At 43.5% G+C, this 20,108-nt stretch overlaps 1 protein-coding gene across 20 annotated transcripts in view; it reads left to right on the top strand.

Annotated features, from left to right (window-relative positions):
• The window catches only part of TMEM164 (transmembrane protein 164), a 181,883-nt gene that overhangs the window by 134,656 nt on the left and 27,119 nt on the right, over positions 1-20,108 (top strand). For all 20 annotated transcript variants that reach the window (XM_047442570.1, NM_001353849.2, XM_047442566.1 and 17 more), the window contains one exon: positions 7,774-7,852. In XM_047442570.1, the coding sequence (XP_047298526.1) occupies positions 7,774-7,852 (79 nt within the window). The remainder of the gene's footprint in view (positions 1-7,773; positions 7,853-20,108) is intronic.

Here is a 20,108-nt window from a genome sequence, read left to right on the forward strand (position 1 = left end):
ATTTCTATTCTAATAAAATTTCATCCTTTTAAATTTCCATGTTTGTGTGTCCTGATGTACATTTAGGTGTGCATATTTTATAATTTACAGTTATACATGTATATCATTTGCCTTACTTTCGATTCTTATCATCCTCTCTAGCCCCCTTCAGATCCACACCCACCTACATTCTCACCGATTTATGAGCTTCTCTCCCAGGCAGTCACACTGGCATCACAAATTCAGCATGGCCCCAGCTTCTTTTCTTGTACCTCACCTCCTCCAATCTGCACCCTAGACTGTAGGTCCCAACATAGGGAGAAGCCCCAACATCCCACCATCCATCTAAGCCATAGCCTGTGAGTCATCTTCAACTTCTTATCTTCTCTTACTTCTGCACAATACCCTGTCCAGTCAATTAATTAGTCCTGGCAATTCAACTTCCTTACCTTCTCTCAAATCTGCCCATCCTCTCTTCTCTCGCTGTGTCTGCCTTTGTTTAGGCATTGCTATCGCCAGCCCCTAACTGGTCCCTCTGCCTCAAGTAGCAAACCCTGCACACAACCACCAAAAGGAGCTCTGCAAAACTACATACCATGCATGCCTCTCACTCACTTAGAAAATTCAAACCAAAGCCAATACATGATCTACAGGGCCTCCCATGATCTTTTCCTGCACTGATATTCTTGCCTTATCTGTTAGCCTCCTCAACTAGACTATGAACTGTTGTAGGGCAGGGGTCCCTACCCTGCAAGATGTCTTCATTATTGCCACATAGCAAGAGGCAAGCACATTACCTGTCACCTAGGCGTGCCTTAATAGGTGTTTTTGGTCAACAGTATGAAAGTGAGAATAGGACTGTTTTGGGTAAGAACAGGAGAGTGGAGTTGACCTTCCTTTGAGAAATAAAGAAGTTTCCAGTGAGAAACTCTGGCCTATAGATAGGCCAAATGAATGGACTGATGTGGGGAGCTAAAGTTACCCTGGTAGTCATCTGATAAACATACTAATGTGTGACTTAGGACTGTGGGACAGGCCCAGGTGATACCATCTCTTCTTGCTAAGGCAGAATGATGAAATGAAACCCCAGCTTTTGACCTAGAAAGATGTGGCATTAAGTCTTACTGCCTGGGATGGAAATTCTGGCTTTCCTGGTTACTGGCTGGATTGATGTTGAAAAGGGGGATAGTGATTATAACAGCCAGCATTTAATGAGTACTTACTATATGCCAGCACTGGGCCAAGGATTCTACAGGTATTATTTCACCACAACTGGATGAAGTAGATACTGTTATTCCCATTTATGAATAAGTCAACTGAGGCTCAGCAAAATTAAATGATTTGCCCAAAGTTGTATAGAGAATAAATGATGGAGACAGAATTTCAATCTCAGCAGCCTGACTCCAGGCTGGAGATACCGATTGGGAGTCATCAGTATACAGATGGTATCTAGAGCCAGGAACCTGGATAAGATTACCTAGTGAGTGGGAGTAGCTATAGAAGAGGAACATGGAATTGGTTCTTGGCCCCTGTAGTATTTAGAGATGAGGGACATAGGGGAAATTCAGCAAAGGAGATTGAGAAGGAACGCCATTGAGGTAGAGAAAGAACAGAGGGTGATGTGCGAGAATCCCAGCACAGAAAGTCTATTCAGGATGAGGGAATGATCAACTGCATCAAATACTGTTGATGGACCAAGTAAGATGAGACCTGAAAATAGACCAGGACTAGTATTTCTAGTTGTGCAGGTTGTTAATTGCATAATGGAGTGAGTGGTATCTAGAATCTCTCTGACACCCTGGCATGGGGTTGAGCCTTGGCAGAAGAAGGAGAGCCTATTTCACATAAAGACGCCATGTGGGCTAACTTCCATCCTTGTGTTGCCTACTGGAATTAGAAACATGGAGGTCATTGGTAACCTCAACAAAAGCAATTTGAGTGAAATGGTAGGAATGAAAATGTGATTGAATTGGATGGAAGAATACTTCAGAGGAAAGGCAGTGATGGCGATGAGTAGAGACATCTCTGGAGGAGTTTTGCTGTAAAGTATAAAGGAAAGCAGAGAAATAGAGGTGGAAGCTCCATTACTACCACAAATGGAAGTGAGGTCAAGAGCTTTTGTTTCTTTAGATGAAAGGTATTTTAGCATGTTTGTTTTCTGATAGCAATGATCCAGTGAGAAAAACAGACAATTGCTGGTATGACATTCTTGAGTAGGTGAGAAAGGATAGGATCTAGTACAGGAGTGATGGTACTAGCCTTAGCCAGCAGCACAGGTGCTTCCTGCATAGTAGCAGAGGAAAAAGCAGCTGTGGGGATGGGTGCAGGGAGGAGGGAGGTATGGAGGTGGGAGCTTATGCATGTTATCTTCTAATGGCTCTCCATGCCCCCTCACCTCACTGAAATAGGAAACCATTTCCTCAGCTGAGAGCGAGGATGGGGAAGGTCTGAGGAAAGCAGGAGAAGTTGTGAAATAGTGGCCTGGGAGAGAGGAGAGTAAATGGTCTTGGGAATATAGTGAGATTGTAGAGCAGCATGAAAGTCTGGCACTAAGTTTGTTGTCATGAATGTAAAGGGTTAATAGCATGGCTTTATATTTTTCTCCAGACATGTTTGCTTGCATGGGTTTAGGGATGTGAAGTCAGACAGTTGGATTTAGCCAGGAATGTGGTATTGCAAGGTAAGTAGGACAAAAAGAGAGAGTGTGTCAGGAGAGTTGGGAATGTACTGAAGGAAGTGATGGGCCTTGAACTCAATGCTGGTGAGCATAGAAGTGAGGACATGAGGTTGGTGAGGGGGCAGTAAAAAGGTGGTAGGATCAAGACTGTAGGTCCTGGTGAAGTGGGAAAATTGTGAGAGTAGGGATATTAGAGGGAGTGAATTGGCCAGACACAAGGTGGTGGCTGGATAGTAGGGTGCATGACAGAGGTTATGGAGAGATCACAGCCATTAACAGTAACTGGTGTGACCATGTGAAAAAGGTGTGAGGTAAAATGGAGAGGAGACCTTGAGGAGCATGGAGGGCAAGGCATTGAGAGGCCAGGGTGTTGCTAAATATTGATACCGCAGAGATTTTGACAAAGGAATGTTGGAAAGGCATCACAGGGAGGGGAAAGGCAAAACCTTCAAGGACTGAAGAAGGGAGGGTATACATGGAGGGGGCCGTAAATCCGTAAATGACTGCAACAGAAAGGAGTAGTGGGTGCCATAGTCTCAGGACATGAGATTCAAATCAGCAGAGTGGTTAGCAAGGAGGCAGAGAGAATGGTCTGGAAGAGACAGCAATTTAGAAACATCTGTGAGGCACAGAGAGGCACTCCCTTGGCCCAGTTGTGTAAGGTTATATGAGAAGAAAAACCCCCACTACTTGAGAGAGCTGTCAGGATAGCAGTGTCTTCAGAGAGGAAGAACTAAGTTTTTCTTAAAGAAAAAAGGTGAAGGGACTGCTCAGGTGACTGATGTAAACAGGGAAGTAGGGGCGTGGTGGGATCAGTGGTCTCCATGGCAGAGGACAGTGGTGTAGCTGTCAGGGTTGTAGAGTGGGAGGAAGGAGGTTGAGATTCTTTCCACGAACAGAGTCCACGCACCTACTGTTTCAGACAGTCTAAACTCTAGAGCCCTAGAGAACTTTACCACTCTGGTCTTTTGATTCTAAAAAGGATGTTGACTTGTGAGAAGGTAGTTAATGACCTGTGTTGCTTAAAGCATTTTTATTACTTTTGACTTTAAATTGCATTGATGCAGGACTTTTTGTCTATAACCTCAGGATTCCTCCAGCTGAAAAAGAACCAGGCTATGTATATTAGAGTGGAATTCCAGGTATGAGTTCTCTAGTGTGTAGAAATGAATTAACCAAGTGGAACTCTTTCTAGGGAAGTATGGCATTTCACAGATATTACTTGTAAAATGGGGAAAAGAGGGTCAGGGGAGGCTCGCTGAGAAAGTTCCCAGAACTCAGCCCAGACTCGGTGCTCAGTAAAGAACTGTCTTAGCTGGGCATCATGGTGCATGCCTATAGTCCCAGCTACTTGGGAGGTTAAGGCAGGAGGATTGCTTGAGCCCAGGAGCTCAGGGCTGTAGCATGCCATGATTGTGCATGAGAATAGCCACTGTACTGCAGCCTGGGTGACATAATGAGACCCTATTTCTTTAAAAACAAAAACAAAAACTTTTTCCTCCATTATTGATTGCCCTTTCCCCCTGTCCCTGTGCCTATTGCTGTTTCTTTGGATGTTATTTAATTTCTCTGTGCCTTAGTTTCCTGTATGTCAGATGCGCATGATCATAGTCCCTACTTCATAGGAAAGTTGTAATAATTAAATGAGATAACACTATGTGTATTAGTCCGTTTTCATGCTGCTGATAAAGACATACACAAGACTGGGTAACTTATAAAGAAAAAGAGGTTTAATGGACTCACAGTTCCATGTAGCTGGGGAGGCCTCACAATCATGGCAGAAGGTGAAAAGCACGTCTTACATGGTGGCAGGCAAGAGAGAATGAGAGCCAAGTGAAAGGGGAAACCCCTTATAAAACCATCAGATCTCATGAGACTTATTCACTACCACCAGAACAGTATGGAGGAAAATGCCCCCATGATTCAGTTATCTCCCACTGGGTCCCTCCCACAGCACGTGGGAATTATGGGAGGTACAATTCAAGATAAGATTTGGGTGGGGTCACAGCCAAAACATATCAACGTATAGAAATATTTAACACAGTACATGGTACATAATATAAGTACTTAAATATGATTTGCTATTAAATGACAAGTGGTAAGTTCTTGGCTCCCATTCAACTCTCTTATTCTTGCCATTATGTTTCTTCTTACTTCACCCCCTTTCTCTTACATCTTCTTCCCTTTCTCTCCTTCTTTTTCCACACTTCCTCCTTAACCTATTTCCTCTTTCCCTCCCCTGGCTTTGGTTGCAGTGGCATATGCACCTAGTTCAGTACTCTTTGTGGCCCCCTGAAGTAGAGAAGTCTTAGAGTAGGGGTGAGGCAGCCATCAGAGGAAGGAAACTGCTGGTGGGGACAGTCTCTTGGCCATTCCATCTGAAGTCTGTAGTGTAGCCATGGTGGCTGCAGAGATGCAAAGGGCCAGTGACAAGAGGCTCAGGAGCTGGGAGGCCTATGTTGCAGGGCAAGTTTGGCTACTGTGTGATGTGTGGCTGGGGCACCAGACAGTAGGCAGAGCATGCTATGAAGATGAGGATCATTTGAACAGGAAGGGACTGGGCTAAATCACCATGTGGAGGGACGAGTGAGGACATGTGCATGTCCTGCCCCTGGTCCTGTTGCTGATACCACTATGACTACTCCCATTCATAAGGGTGGCTCCTCCCCACGGGGCATCTCCTGTCAGTCGGCCTTCTGTGGGAGGGAGCGAGTGAGCAAAGGATAGCTGAGTGTGCTGGCTAAGACTATAAATTCTAGAGCCAAACTGCTTGGATTTGAATCCTGGCTCTGTCACCGAATGAGAATGTATCCTTGAGTAAGTTATCTAACTTTTCTGTGCCTCAGTGTCCCATCTCTAAAATGGATATAATTGGAACAATACAGTTCTTATGAGGATTTGTTTAAATTAACAGTTTACAAAGTGATTTTCATAGTTCATGGCATAAAAGAAGTACGATGTGAGTTTTTGTTATATTTTAAAAATTTTAAAAATCATACAACAATCTTAGAAGACTTACTTTCATTTTACCGATGCCAAAACGGAGGTGGAGAGGTTAAGGGCCTTGGCCAAGGCCACAGAGCTACCGAGCAGCAGAGTCAAATCTAGAACACAGCTTTGACATACTCCAAAGTCCTAGCTTGTAACTGCAATGCTTAACTGCCTCCCTGGACATTCAGGTGGAGACTTTGCTTTCTAGGAGAGCTGGGAGGCAGGGTGAGGCAGGTGGGCAATGTGAGTCAAGGTGGGTGGTCAGCAGTTGGAGTCTGAGAGGTTGGGAGAAGTACTGCTTGAGGACACACCTGGGACTAGTGGCTGCATGCCCTTGGCCCGGCTCCTTGGTTGGGGAGAGCAGCCTGGCTTCCCAGGCCCATTTCAGGGACAGGTCAAGTCCCTTAGGTGCATGAAGGTGCTGATTTCAGCCAGAGAGCTAAGCCTTCTTGGGACTTTTTCCTTCCTTCCCTATTTTCCAGGTGACCTCAGTGAAGTTAATAACCCTTTTGCACCTCAGTTTCCTCATCTGTCAATTGAGGATAATACTTTACCTGTCTGCTTCCTGGGTATTTTGAGACATTGAGTAGATTGTGGATGTGAAATCATTTGAAAAGCATAAAGCAGTACCTAAATTTAAGATACTAGAGTGATCTCAGACCACATTACTGTGAGGGTCCAGTGTAGATCTCTCAGGCCTCTCCATAGCTACCTTGTGCTGATAATGCCCAGTGTCCAATTTCATGACCTTTTCCAGCTGGGGTCTACAGTGATACTTGGACTCTTACCTCCTTTTCTCAGTTTTTACATTTCCCTTGGTGAGTGTAAAGTAATAGTTGAGCAGCATGTGGGTCCCTGGGAAATTATTTTCCGTGTGGATTTTTATTTTTAAGAGCCAGAGCCAACGTCTGTGTCCAGCCTCCACAGTTGTCCCAGCTCCCATTCTGGGAGCTCTGCCATCTTCTTGGTTTCAGCCCTTGGCATAAGACAGACCTGGGCTCCTGTGGCTGGGGAGCCTGTAACTGCCTCCTCTCATTAGCAGACAGTCTTGGTTATGTGCTTGCCCTGTGGGGAACAGGGAGGCAGCTGACCCTTTCCCCTGGGTGCCTTTGTCTGTCCTGGCATACTTTGGGGTGTGTGTGTGTGTGTGTGTGTGTGTGTGTACACGTGTGTGTGTATGTTAGAGATTCTGTAAGCCCAAGAGGCTAGGCCTCTTGTCAGCTGCCAAAGTTCTTTTTTCCCCAGAATTGAGTTAGCCACCCAACTGTTTCCATTCTCTGCCCGCTGCGAAGCTCTACAGCAGGGCTGCTGTGGCAGGTCAAAACATGCTCTGCTTTGAGAATACAGAGATTCCATTTTGAGAGAGATGGGAAACAGGAGCGAGTGAGTGGGTGTGTTGGATGTAGGGAAAGTGAGGACATTCTTTTTGGTAAGCTGTGCCAAAATTGGCCCAGAAGCTTGGTCTAAACTCAAAAGTAGGGCTAATGCTGGGCTGACACCCAAATATCCAATGGGGAAAGTTTATTCTTGGATCTAGACCCTATGAGACCTAGCAATCATTTTTTTTTCTCATCTGGAATATGGGGATAATTCTACTCCATATATTCTTCATGTCAAATGAGAAATAAACTTGTAAATAGTCTACCGTCTAGTCTCCAGGAGCAGGAAGTGACATAAGGTTGTGATTCTTAAAGTATTTTGCAGAATACAAACTGTTACTAAAAAAAGAATCACTTGCTAAATAAGTTTGGGGAACACTGGATAAACAATGGCATGTTTTTTGTCTGTAGGGGCCACTCAGGTCCTTCATATTCCAATAATACACATGGGAAACCACCAAGGGGATATATTATATACTACATCTCCTAAATTTTTAACCAAACTTTCTTAGTGGAGCATTTACAAGTACCTTCTCTACAAAAGACATCTAGGAAGATCCTGATCTAGATCAGAAGAATATTCATTTTGTTCTTTTTTTTTTCCTGCAATTGTAAAGAGAAGTGAATTGGTGAAATGCATGGGATTGCTGAAATATGGGTCCTGAACAGCAGGGGAGGTCAACTTTGGACTCTGTTGAAATGAATGCTTCCTGCTCTAAAACACTTCTCTCCCTCCTATCCTCACAGCTCCCCTTTGAATTGGAGATTTACTACATTCAGCATGTTATGCTCTACGTGGTACCCATCTACCTGCTTTGGAAAGGAGGTAAGGCCAGCAAACCACATTCCTATGTAACCCCCACACCTAACCTCTCCCTTCTGTTTTTGGGAGTCACAGCCTCTTGGGTGCTTCCCAGGATCTTCAGCTGCCGCTTGACTGAGTTTCTTCAACATAATTTATGCCGGGCACCAGGAAGTGGGGAGATGGGAATGGACGAGGCCTGCAAGGGGTCTGGGGACTTTTTAGACCCACCCTTCACTGGGTGACTATGGTGCTGCTGACTGTCTGTCACAGGGCCTGGGCTTTGGGTTCTTGATGGTGGCATTGTGTTTGCATGGAGCCCCCCACACTGTCACCTTCTTGTACTTGTGCCTTCCCCCTGCCTCAATGTGCAGTGTGGGATAGAAGGAGAGAGTAAAGCACTCGGTCCCCTCAAGAACAAAAGAAGATATTGTAAGGGGCAAGAAGTCCGGGGACCAGGGCAATTATGGGATTGAGGGGAGAGGCAGGTGAAAGAGTGGTGGTCACCCATGTAAAATAAACCACTGAAAACCTTCATTTGGTGAAGAGGGAGAGACCACCAACCTGGTAGAGGCAGCCTGGAAAGGAAGCTGATCTATTTGTAACCTCTCAGTGACCCTTAGATTATCCCTTCCCTCTATTGTGTAACAGACAAAAGGAAAGGGGTGCCTATCCATCTAGGCTTGTTGTGAGAGCCACTCCTTCTCAGTGTTCTTTACTTTCTGAAAGGCCCTGTGACTGGAAGTCATCCTCTTTTAGTTTTAGCCCCAGCCTCTCTATCTCAGTTGCTGAGACTTTTCTGCTCCTACCTCACTCCAGGCAGCAAGGGTTTCATTTCTACCATACTGAAAGTGGCATGAGGCCACATGGGCCCTTGAGCTCACTGGAAGATAGTCTGGGAGTTCTGCTGGGCACTGCTGCTTCTTGGCTTATGCGTGGATGCTCTAAATCAGGCATTCCGGCAGATCTTAAGATCTGGTGTGAGATAGCCCCAAGGACTGGTCAACCCAGGAACATATTACAGGATGGAGTCTACTTATAGTCCAGAGATTTGCCTCCTATGCCTTGATTTCTATCAGTTCTCCATACTTGCCTAAATATTCTTTGAGACTGCTTTTACCCTGTGCGGCCACTTGGGGTCTCACGATGTCCCAAAACACTTCCTTTTAATTTGCTGTAAAAGCACTATTTTCCTCACGAGGCTTTAAGGAAAGTCTGAAGTTCCAATATCCAGGAGACTTGTGCCATTTCTCAGGTCTGTCCCCTGTGGCACAGGAAACAGCCTCTTAATATTAAGTCTCAGAAATACACACATTCTGAATAGAACCAGGCAGATAGGTGTTCCTGGGCCTCAGAACCCTGCTACTCATCGTTCCTGGCTTCTGAGGTGTGTGATGGAAGTCCTAGCCAAATCTGCATGGCTGTTATTTAAACATATTTGTACTCTAAGGTCACCATAAAAATCTGTCAGGTAGCTGGGTTAGACTGGTCTGACATGGAAAATACCAAGTAGCCATCTTTCCTCCCTCCAAAAGAATAATCCAGGAAGCCACATCCTCAAGACTTGGCTAACTCTAAGATAATTGTATCTCCTTAGAGCAGATCCTCCCGATAGCCCAGTTCCCTAAGTGGCGAGGTGAGAGATAGTAGGGCTGTAATGAGAGACAGTATGCTCTGTTATTGCTAATAACCAATAGATACCCTGGTGCAGTGAGGGTTTAGCTTGCAGCACCAGTGGAGTGATCTCACCAAACTGACTTTTTACTCCAGGACCTCAATGAGAGCATCTACCACCCCGCAGAAGTTGATGGGCCCCAGTACCTTCTATCTGGCCAACTTTGAGCTATTTTGAGGGCTCATCTCCCATCTCCCTTTCCAGCTCTTTACTGCCATCTGCTGTTCACTTGGGGGGAATTATGAGCATTGAGAGAAACATCTGGATTTCTTCACCTTTGATCCCAAGCCTTGGACCTAGGCCTTGCAGAGGGAGAATGGATCTGAAGCAAGCTGTCAGAAGATTAGTTTTCTGTAAACCAAGAAAGCCGAGAGTCTGGGGCTTCTGTTCCCTAGAAGTCGCTTGTAATTTTGTAGAAATAAATGGCTTAGCAATTTTTACCCAGTACAAGACAGCTCTCCTATAGGTATCTCCCATGCCCAGGAACCCTGTTTTCCTGAAAGGCAAGGTCCTGCTTGAGCATATAGTGCCTCTTCCTATGGTTTGGGGTGGGTGGGTAGGTGGCGCCTTGTGGGAAACCCACTCATCCCTTATTGTTGCAGACCTTATGCACTGTCACAGTACATGGGACCTCTCTCATCCACACTGCTCTTTTCTTCCTCTGGCCTGTCCCTTCATTTCCCTGTTTCCTTTCCTTCAAACTTGTTGCCTGTGGCCCTCTGGAACTCTATTTCTTTTTTTTCTGTGTTACAGTATTTTTAAATTTAATTTTTATTAGATACTGACAAATTATGCTTTTATATATGTGTAGGGTACAAGGTGATGCTACGCTATATGTATACAATGCAGAATGATTGAATCAAGCTAATTAACAAACTATATTTCTTACAAACCACTCCCAACCCCACCGGCAGCTCTGCATGGGGCACAGAGCCTTCCTGTCTCTTGCCTACAGCTTCCTCTAATGGAGGCTGCTCTTTCTGCCCTGCCCCATATGCTGCAGAGCCCCCTCTGTCTCTTCTAGAGCACTATCTCATCTGTACGTTAGGGGAAAAAGGCTTTCTCTTTTACTATTCTCTCTCTTTTTTTTTCATCACCACCATCACTTGACCTCTTGGTCCCTTCCCCTATATTCCTAGAAGTCACTGGCCTGTAGCTCTCAATATTTCCATTATAATTTGAGCCAACATCCTGAGAGACTTCTTGTAAGGACCACCCATCCACCCCAGCTTCTCAAGGTTTGGGCTTCTTAATTGCAGTGACCTCAGCATTCCCTTCTTTTCAGCCACCAGGACCTTGTTTTCCCGTAAAGCTCCTCTATGTGAGAACGTAACTCCTGTTATGTTCTTTCTTTGACCCAAATCTCCACTCCTTTCCTCTTCTTCCTATTCAGCTTGTATCTCCATGACCTATCATTGAAACTTTCACTAGCTCCTGAAAGTGTCTCACCTCCCTTGTCCCTTCCAACTGGGATCAGTGTCCCATGCCTTTTCAGTGTGCCCAGTCTTGGCCTACTGGAGGAGCTCTTTCAAGCCATTCTGATTAGGGCCATGAAAATTTCATGATGTCTATTATAATTGTGCTCTCAACACCATTGCTCAATTTATTTTCTGTCTATGGCCAGCTCCTCCACACATTGCCCTCACAAGTCCTGTGCTAAATCTTTACCACCCTCCTCAAATTTCCTGTCTACTCTGTTCAAACCTTCTGTTCTCTCCACCCTCAATAGATCCCCCCTCTCCCCACAAATGACTGAGAAAATTGAGGTTTTGGGATGGAAATTTCCTCAACACTTCTCTCTACCTCTACAAGCTTCTTTACCCACATCCATCCCTATCTTCCTCCTTCTCATCCTGGAAGAAATGGTGTTCATTCTGTTCTGGCCAATAATATCCCTGTGCGATTAGCTCCCACCCCTGCTACCACCTCTGGAGCCTCATTCTATCAATTAATCACTTATGTACCTGGATATTCTTTTTCTTTCTTTTTTTTTCTTTTTTTAGACAGGGTCTCACTGTATCACCCAGGCTGGAGTACAGTGGTGCAATCACGACTCATTGCAGCCTCAACCTCCTGGCTTACATGGTCCTCCCACCTCAGCCTCCTAAGTAGCTGGGACTACAGGCACATACTACCACACCCGGCTCATTTTTTTTTTTTTTTTTTTTTTTTGTATTGTGTAGAGACAGGGTTTTGCCATGTTGCTCAGGCTGGTCTTGAACTCTTGGGCTCAAGTGATCTTCCCACTTCAGCCTCCCAAAGTGTTGGGATTACAGGCATGAGCCACTGTACCTGGCCATTAGCTGAATTTTCAACCCTCTCTTCACTGCTGGCTTTTCAGCCAATACAGATGTTCAAATCTTTCCCATTCTAAGAAACTTTCTCGCAATCCCATACAACTCTGTCTTCCCTCTTCCCTTCACACCTAAGCATCCTAAAAGAATAATCTAAACAACATTTTCTAAAATTTAGTTCTTTGGGCAAGACAATTTTTGTCTTATCCACGTAACCATGTGTGTTATTATGTATGTAATACATGTCCTTAAATCTATTGAGTTTTTTTTTTTTAACTAAAATATATACGCTTTCAAGAGAAGCCCCATAATATCCATGAGATTGTGGCTTTGATTTACTGGTTATCTATTTTAACACAGTTTATATACAAAACTATTAAAAATGAAATGTTTATCTGTTTGCCACCTGAAATCACCTCATACATGGTGCATAACTTTGGGAGACACTGGGGTCTGCCCTTGAGTTTTCTTCTCAATTACCCTTTATTCCTCAGACCATTTACTCTGATATCTAACCCTCTACCAGACTTTTCACAGAAATGGTGCTTCTAAAGATCACCAGCAACGTCTGTCTGACCAAATCTAATGACCATCTCTCAGTCTTTATCCTACGGAATGCTGTTGCATTGGATGGTATTGATCACTCCGTTTTGGATTGCTCTGCTTCGGGGCTTCCAAAGTTCCTCCCTTTCCTGGCTTTCCTACCTCACCAATCATGTCTTCTCAAGTCTCCTTCACAGGTTATTTTTTCTCACTCCTCTGAGATGTTGAGTTCTGTTCTAGGCTCACATCTCATTCTAATTGTCTGGTATGGTTTTGCCTGCTTTCACGGTTTAACTACTAGTCTGTCTAGTTATGGCTGCTACATCACTGTCTACAGCTCAGACTTACGAGAGTCACATTCATATAGTTTACTCAACTTCTCTACCTAAATGTCTCAAGCATATGTCAAACCCAACCTGTCTGTGTCAAACTCATTATCTTCCCTGTCAGCCCTCCTGCTCTTCTTGTGGTTCGTGCCAAGTAGCAGCATCCAATCACCCCAGCTAAAAACTGGGAATCATCCCTGCCTCCTGTATGCAATGCATCCGTTCATCTCACATATATTAACATATGCCTTCTTCCTGCCAGGATCCAGACTGACCACTGGGGTGCCCTGATAAGCAAAAATCAGACACCACCCTGTCCTTCATAACATTTATAAGCTAGTGGGGGTGGAGTGGGGAGATGGATATGAATCAAATATCACATGAATTTATAGTTATGACTGAGATAAGTACTCTGAAAGAAAGGAACATGCTCTTATGAGAACTTAGAACAAAACAAGCTGACTGAGTTTGGGGGTTTGGAGGAGAGTTCCCTGAGGAAATGACATTTAAATAGAAATCCAAAGGGTGAGTTGGAGCTTATTAGGCAAGTACAGGATTAGGGGAGGTGACTTCTTGTAGATGGGCAAAATGGCATGTACAACAGCACTGTGGCAATGGGGAGCACAAGGGGAGTGGATGACACTGGGCCTGAGGGGCAGGCTGGCGTCATATATGAAGGCTTTGTCACCCATGGTCAGGGGTTTGGCCTTGATTGCCAAAGCTATGGGAAGCCTGTGAAAATGTGAAGAAGGGATATAACATCAGCTTGCTTCACCAATTGATTCTTCTCTGATTTAACTTATTTGCACATTTTACACATTTTAATTCAAAAATCTAAAATATAAAAAGCCATACTGTGAAAAATATATTTCCCGTCCCTTCCCTCCATCCATATAGTTCCCTGCTACAACTCCACGAGTAACTACTATTTTTGGTTTTTGTATATCCTCCCAGAGTTTGTTTTTTTGCATATACAAGTAAATTTTAAAAATATTTTCCCCCTTCTTCAGACATTCATCCTAAAATAGCAAATACACAACCATCCTGTTGTTACTGTTTTGCTTAGCAATATTTCTTGGAGAGCTTTCCATGTGAGCCCACAAGAAGCTCCCCCTTTCTTTCTTTTTTTTTTATAGTGGCATAATATTACATTGTGTGGATGATAGAATACAGTATAATAAAAATGGCAGAGCTTTGACATAAGACAACTATATGCCAGATATTGTCACACACTTTTCCCATGCATTAACTCATTTAATCCTATAACAACTCTGTTAGGAAGGTGTTATTATTATCTCCCTTTTATGGAAGAGGAAACTGGTACTCAAATAGCAAGTGACAGTCCCCGGATTTGAAGCCAGTAGTATGGTTCCACGGTTCTTGCTTTTAATCATAACACAAAGTTACAACACTATATCATAATTTATTTTTTTCAGTCTGCTATTGATGGACATTTAGGTTGTTTCAAATCTTTTGATAATGTAAATAACACTGCACTGAAGGAACTGGTACCTTTGCCATTTTGCGTGTGTGCAAGAATATCTATAGGATATATTCCCAGAAGTGGTAATGCTGAATCACAGTATATGCATTTGTATTTTTGTTGGATATTTCCAAATCCATGAAAGTTGTACCAGTTTAAATGTTTACTAGCAATGTATGAGAGTGTCTGTTTCTACACAACCTCACCAAATTGGATTTTTGCCCATCTGATGGGTTAAAAAAAAAAGGTATATCAGTTCGATTTTAATTTTAATTTCACTTTGAGTGAAGCCAAGTGTCTTTTTACATATTTAAAATTGGCATTTGGCTGGGCATGGTGGCTCAAGCCTGTAATCCCAGCACTTTGGGAGACCGAGGTGGGTGGATCACCTGAGGTCATGAGTTCGAGACCAGCCTGGCCAACATGGCGAAACCCCCTCTCTACTAAAAATACAAAAATTAGCCAAGTGTGGTGGTGCGCATGCCCGTATTCCCAGGTACTCGGGAAGCTGAGGCATGAGAATCGCTTGAACCCAGGAGGTGGAGGTTGCAGTGAGCCGAGATTGTGCCACTGCACTCCAGCCTGTGCAACAGAGTGAGACTCAGTCTCAACAAAATAAAATAAAATAAAATTGGCATTTGATTTCCTCTTCCTTGAACTACATGCTCCTATCACATGCTCATTGTTCAATTGTGTTGGCCTTTTTACAAAATTTGAATCCTAAGAGCTTGTTACATATAAATATTAACAGTTTACCCTTTATGATATGAGCTACAGATATTGTCCTCAGTTGTGTTTTCTTTTGACTTTGCTAATGTTTTATTCTTGCCATGCAGGATTTTAAAATTTCTTTTTCTTCTTCTTTTTTTTTTCTTTTCTTTTCTTTTTTTTTTTTTTGTCTGAGACGTAGTCTCACTCTGTTGCCAGGCTGGAGTGCAGTGGCGTGATCTCAGCTCACTGCAGCCTCCGCCTCCCGGGTTCAAGCGATTCTCCTGCCTCAGCCTCCCAAGTAGCTGGGACTATAGGCACGTGCCACCACGCCCGGCTAATTTTTGTATTTTTAGTAGAGACGGGGTTTCACCATGTTGGCCAGGATGGTCTTGATCTCTTGACCTCGTGATCTGCCCACTTCGGCCTCCCAAAGTGCTGGGATTACAGGCATGAGTCACCCTGCCCAGCTGAATTTTTACCTTTCTATGTAATTTATCTTTTATGGCATCTGAATTTAGAGTCATGGTTAGAAAGCCCTTTACTACTCCAAGGTTATAAAAAATATATATCCCATATTTTCTTCTGGTATGTTTATAGTTCCTTTTATTATTATTTTTTACATTTAAGTCTTTTATTCACTTGGAATATATCCTGATATACAGTGCAAGATAAAGATCCAACTTTATTTCCAGCTGGCTTCCCATTTGTCCCCACACTGTTTATTAAATAGTCCAACATGATCCAATCTGCTTGTGGAGAAGATCATATTGGCTGCTGTGTGGAGAAATCACTGGGTCCTCCTGCTCTTACCTCCTAAATATCTCTCAGACTCATCCTCTCCTTACCATCTCTAGGACCAGTACCTTGGGCCAAGCCTTGCACATCTCTTCCCTCAATGATGATAATTGGCTCTGTGTGATCTCTCTCCAGCCAGCCTCCTTTGCTCCCCCTAAGCCCATTCCTGGAGCTACTTCTATAGCTCAAATAGGATCATAGCTCTTTGTCATTTGGAAGCTTTCAGTGGCCCCCCATCTTCCCCAGTGCACAAGACCGTATGACCTGATACCCAACCCCTTCTCCAACCTCATGTCTTTACACTCCCTTCTTTATACTGTACACTGTGGTGATACCCAAATCCTTGGGGTTCCCTGAGTATTTTATCCAATTTTCATGCCTCTGTGCCTTTGAAAATGCTGTGATTTCTGCCAGGAATGCTCTTCTCCAGCTGTGGGCCTAGAAACATTCATTTGTCAAAACTCATGTCAGTAGTTACTTTCTCCAAGAAGCCCTCTGTAACTATTCTACCCCAGCTCCCGCCAGCTGCCTCTGTTCCTCCCATTTTTGTCATCCTCACAGTATAGTCTTTACATGCTGGTCTCCCTGAGGACAGGAATTTTTCATTTCTTCTTGGTATGTAGGTGATGAATGAATGAATGAATGACCTTCTATTCAGGGATGTATTCCTGTACTGCAAATTGCACATAATTTATTATACATCTTACAAGCTAATGTTTACTAGGCACTGGGTTTGTTACATGTGTGATCTTGATCTCATTTAATTCCCACAGTGTCCACTAGACTTATGGGAGTACATCACGTGAGGCCCATGACCTTGAATGAGAAAAATAATCACATCTTTATGTCCATTAACTGCAACTGAAATACAGTCATCTCTCGGTATCCATGGGGAATTGGTTCTAGGACTTCCCCCACCACAAATACCAAAATCCAAGGATGCTCAAGTCCCTAATGTAAATGACGTAGTATTTGCATCTAACCTACACACATCCTCCTGTATACTTTAAAGGAAGCTTGTCTAACCTGTGGCCTAGGATGGATTTGAATGTGGCCCAACACAAATTTGTAAACTTTCTTAAAACATTATATTTGAAAAAAATTTTTTTTCAGCTCATCAGCTATCAGTAGTGTATTTTATGCGTGGCCCAAGACAATTCTCCTTCCCATGTGGCCCAGGGAAGCCAAAAAATTGGACATCCCTGCTTTAAATCATCTCTAGATTACTCATAATACCTAATACAATGTAAATGCTATATACATAGTTGTTATACTGTTTTTTATTTGTATTTTTTTTTACTATTGTTATTTTCATTTTTAAAAAATATTTTTGATCTGTGGTTGGTCAAATCCACAGATGCGGAACTTGCAGATATGGAGGGCCGACTTTGTGGTATATCCTTTAGTAAGGAATGTAGATAACAAACCACAGTTACATTAGCAGCACTTGGCATGCTGTTGTTAATGTAAATTACACTTATTTTCCTCTTATGTTAGAGTTGTTGCAGATATCTCAAAAAATCATTGGCATTCATCATTACCTCAAAATTTAAAAACAGATGTGCCTTTTAAAAGCATTTTGATAACTATAGTTCAACATGATTATTTTCTTTTATAATCCTATATATTCTATTTCGTATACTTAAATACTTTATTCTGAGAGAGAGCCTTTACACTTCCCCAGACTGCCCAAGGAGTGCATAGTACCACCAAGGTTAGGAGTCCCTTTACTAGAGTTTATTTTATTTTTATTTTTTTGAGACAGATACTCACTGTGTCACCCTGGCTGGAGTGCAGTGACCTGATCTTGGCTCACTGCAACCTCTGCTTCTCGGGTTCAATCAATTCTCGCACCTCAGCCTCCAGAATAGCTAGAAGTACAGTCACATGCTGCCACGCCCGGCTAGTTTTTGCATTTTTTGTAGAGATAGGGTTTCACCATGTTGGCCAGGGTGGTCTGGAACTCCTGGCCTCAAGTGATCCGCCTGCCTCTGCCTCCCAAAGTGCTGGGATTATAGGCATGAGCCACTGTGCCTGGCCTGCACTAGAGTTTAAACTGGTGTTTGAAACCAGGTGGGCAGAGATGCCTCTATGCTGCCTGTCCATGGAGTCGCTGGATTCAGACAGACTGTAGGTACAAATCCTAGTTATCCCACTTGCTAGTTAGTTCTGGCATTTGGTCGAGTACCTTGACCTCTCTGTGTCTGTTTTCTCACTTGCAAAATGAGGGTAGTAATAGTACCTACCTCATAGGGTGTTATGAGGATTCACTGAGCTGATACATGAAGAGTATACAGAACAATGACTGGCACATAGTAAATACTATGTATTGGGTTTGTATAATTATTAATTACCCACTGTTCTGCCTTGTGTTAATTATTCATCTTTCTTCCAACTAGACTGCCGTCTCTAGAGGTCAGGATTGTGCCTTGCTGTGTTCTAAAGCCGCAGAACCTTGCATGAACTGAGAGCATGCTTGTCAGTGGATGTAACATTACTGGTCCTCCCTCCTTTGAGACACTTGTTTCTCCTTTGAGCTCCAGGGTACCTCTTTCTCCTGGTTCTCCTACTTCTCTGGTTCTTTCTCCTTGGGCTCTTTTGCTCTGCCTGCCCCATAGATCCTGGTGTTCTTCATCAATAGAGATAACACAGGCTTGAGAAGCAGTACAGGTACTTCAAAAATAACAATTAGACTCCTCATTTCTGTACCCCTTCTCTCATCCTGCTTGTCTTCCTCCTCTGTTTCCTGTCTTGGTTAGTGGCTCTACTCTCCATCCACTACCAAAGCAAAAAATGTAGGCAACATCCTAGATCTCTTCCTCTGCGTCTTCCCATTTACCAATCAGTTCAGAAGTTCTGACAGTTTAAATTCTCAAAATTGTTTGCAAATTTGGCCCTTCCTCCTCATCCTCACCACCCCTGTCCGACTGTGGGCTCTCAGCCTCTGTTACCAGGACTACTTTGCTTCCTCTCTCCTCTCCCTGCCCCCTGATTTCCCCTACCTCCTACCCAGGCTATCCTCTATACAGTCTCCAGAGTGACCATTTTAAGGAAAGAGGAAATCTGATCTGATTTTGCTCAGCTGCTTAAAAATCCCATCCAGGATGAAGACCAAACTTCTTTGCATAGCATTCAAGACCATTCACAGTCTGATTCTTGTCCATCTCTTTGGCCTCATTTCTCATTGCTTAGACTCCGATTCTATCACTTTACCTTCTGGTTTTTATTTGTTTTGTTTTTTTAGAGATGGGGTCTTACTATGTTGTCCAGGCTGGAGGGCAGTAATGCAATCATAGCTCACTGCAGCCTGGATCTCCTGGGCTCAAGTGATCCTCCTGCCTCTGCTTCCCAAGCAGCTGAGACTGCAGGTACATACCACTGTGCCCAGCTCATTACTTTACTTTCTGAATAAACTTATCTGCTGACAGGTTTGCCCAGCCTTCCTTGCTTTGTGTCCAGGCTCATACTATCTATTCTACTTGAAACCTGGCAAACTTCGTGTGTTCCTTTGCAAGTTAGCTCAAGGGTACTACCTCCTCTCTGGAGGTGTCTCTGACTTTCCTAGGCAGCCAAGGGCATGTATTCCTTAATGTGCCTTTCTCCTTGTACTTTTATTATACTTTATTATAATATGCAGTAACCACCATTTCTAGTTGTCTGTATTTTGCCACTAGGTGGCAGTAGTCACATCTTTTCGGGAGATTAAGATAATTAATATTGGATATTGATTTATTTTATTTATTAAAGATGTTGATTAATAATTGTTGTAATTGAGGTGCTATGGGAATAAGGATGCGGGTAAAATCCGTGAGGCCCCTGAATTTTGGCCTGAGTGACTGGGTGGGATAGAGTATCATTAACTGAGAAGAGGGCGCAGAAGGAAGGAGCATGTTTTAGAGAGTGTCTTAGTCTTTTTGGCCTGCTACAACAAAAATGCTATCAACTGAGTAGCTTATAAACAATATAAATGTATTTCTCGCAGTTCTGGAGGCTGGGAAGTCCAGATCAAGGTACCAGAAGATTCAGTGTCTGGTAAGGGCCTGTTCCTCCTAGATGGGGTCTTCTCACTGTGTTCTCACACGTGGAAGGGGCAAGCAGGCTTCCTTGGGCATCTTTTATAAGGGCACTAATCTCATTCATGAGGGATCCACCCTCATGACCTAATCAGCTCCTAAAGGCTCCACCGCTTAATACCATCACATTGACCATTAGGTTTCAACATGAATCTGAGGAGAGGAACATAAACATTCAGACCATAGCAGCGAGGAAGATGATTTTACTTGAGTTTGAGGTGCTTATAGGCTATCTAGGTTGAGATGCCCAGGAAGCATTAGGATAAAATATTCTGGAGCTGTTCAGGGGAATCTGGACTAGACACTGACTTTAGTATCAGTGGTTATAGAACTAGTAGATGAAAACATTGGAATGAATGAGCTGGTCCAGGGTAACTATG

This window comes from Homo sapiens, chromosome X (assembly GCF_000001405.40).
Source record: "Homo sapiens chromosome X, GRCh38.p14 Primary Assembly".
Classification (NCBI taxonomy): domain Eukaryota; kingdom Metazoa; phylum Chordata; class Mammalia; order Primates; family Hominidae; genus Homo; species Homo sapiens.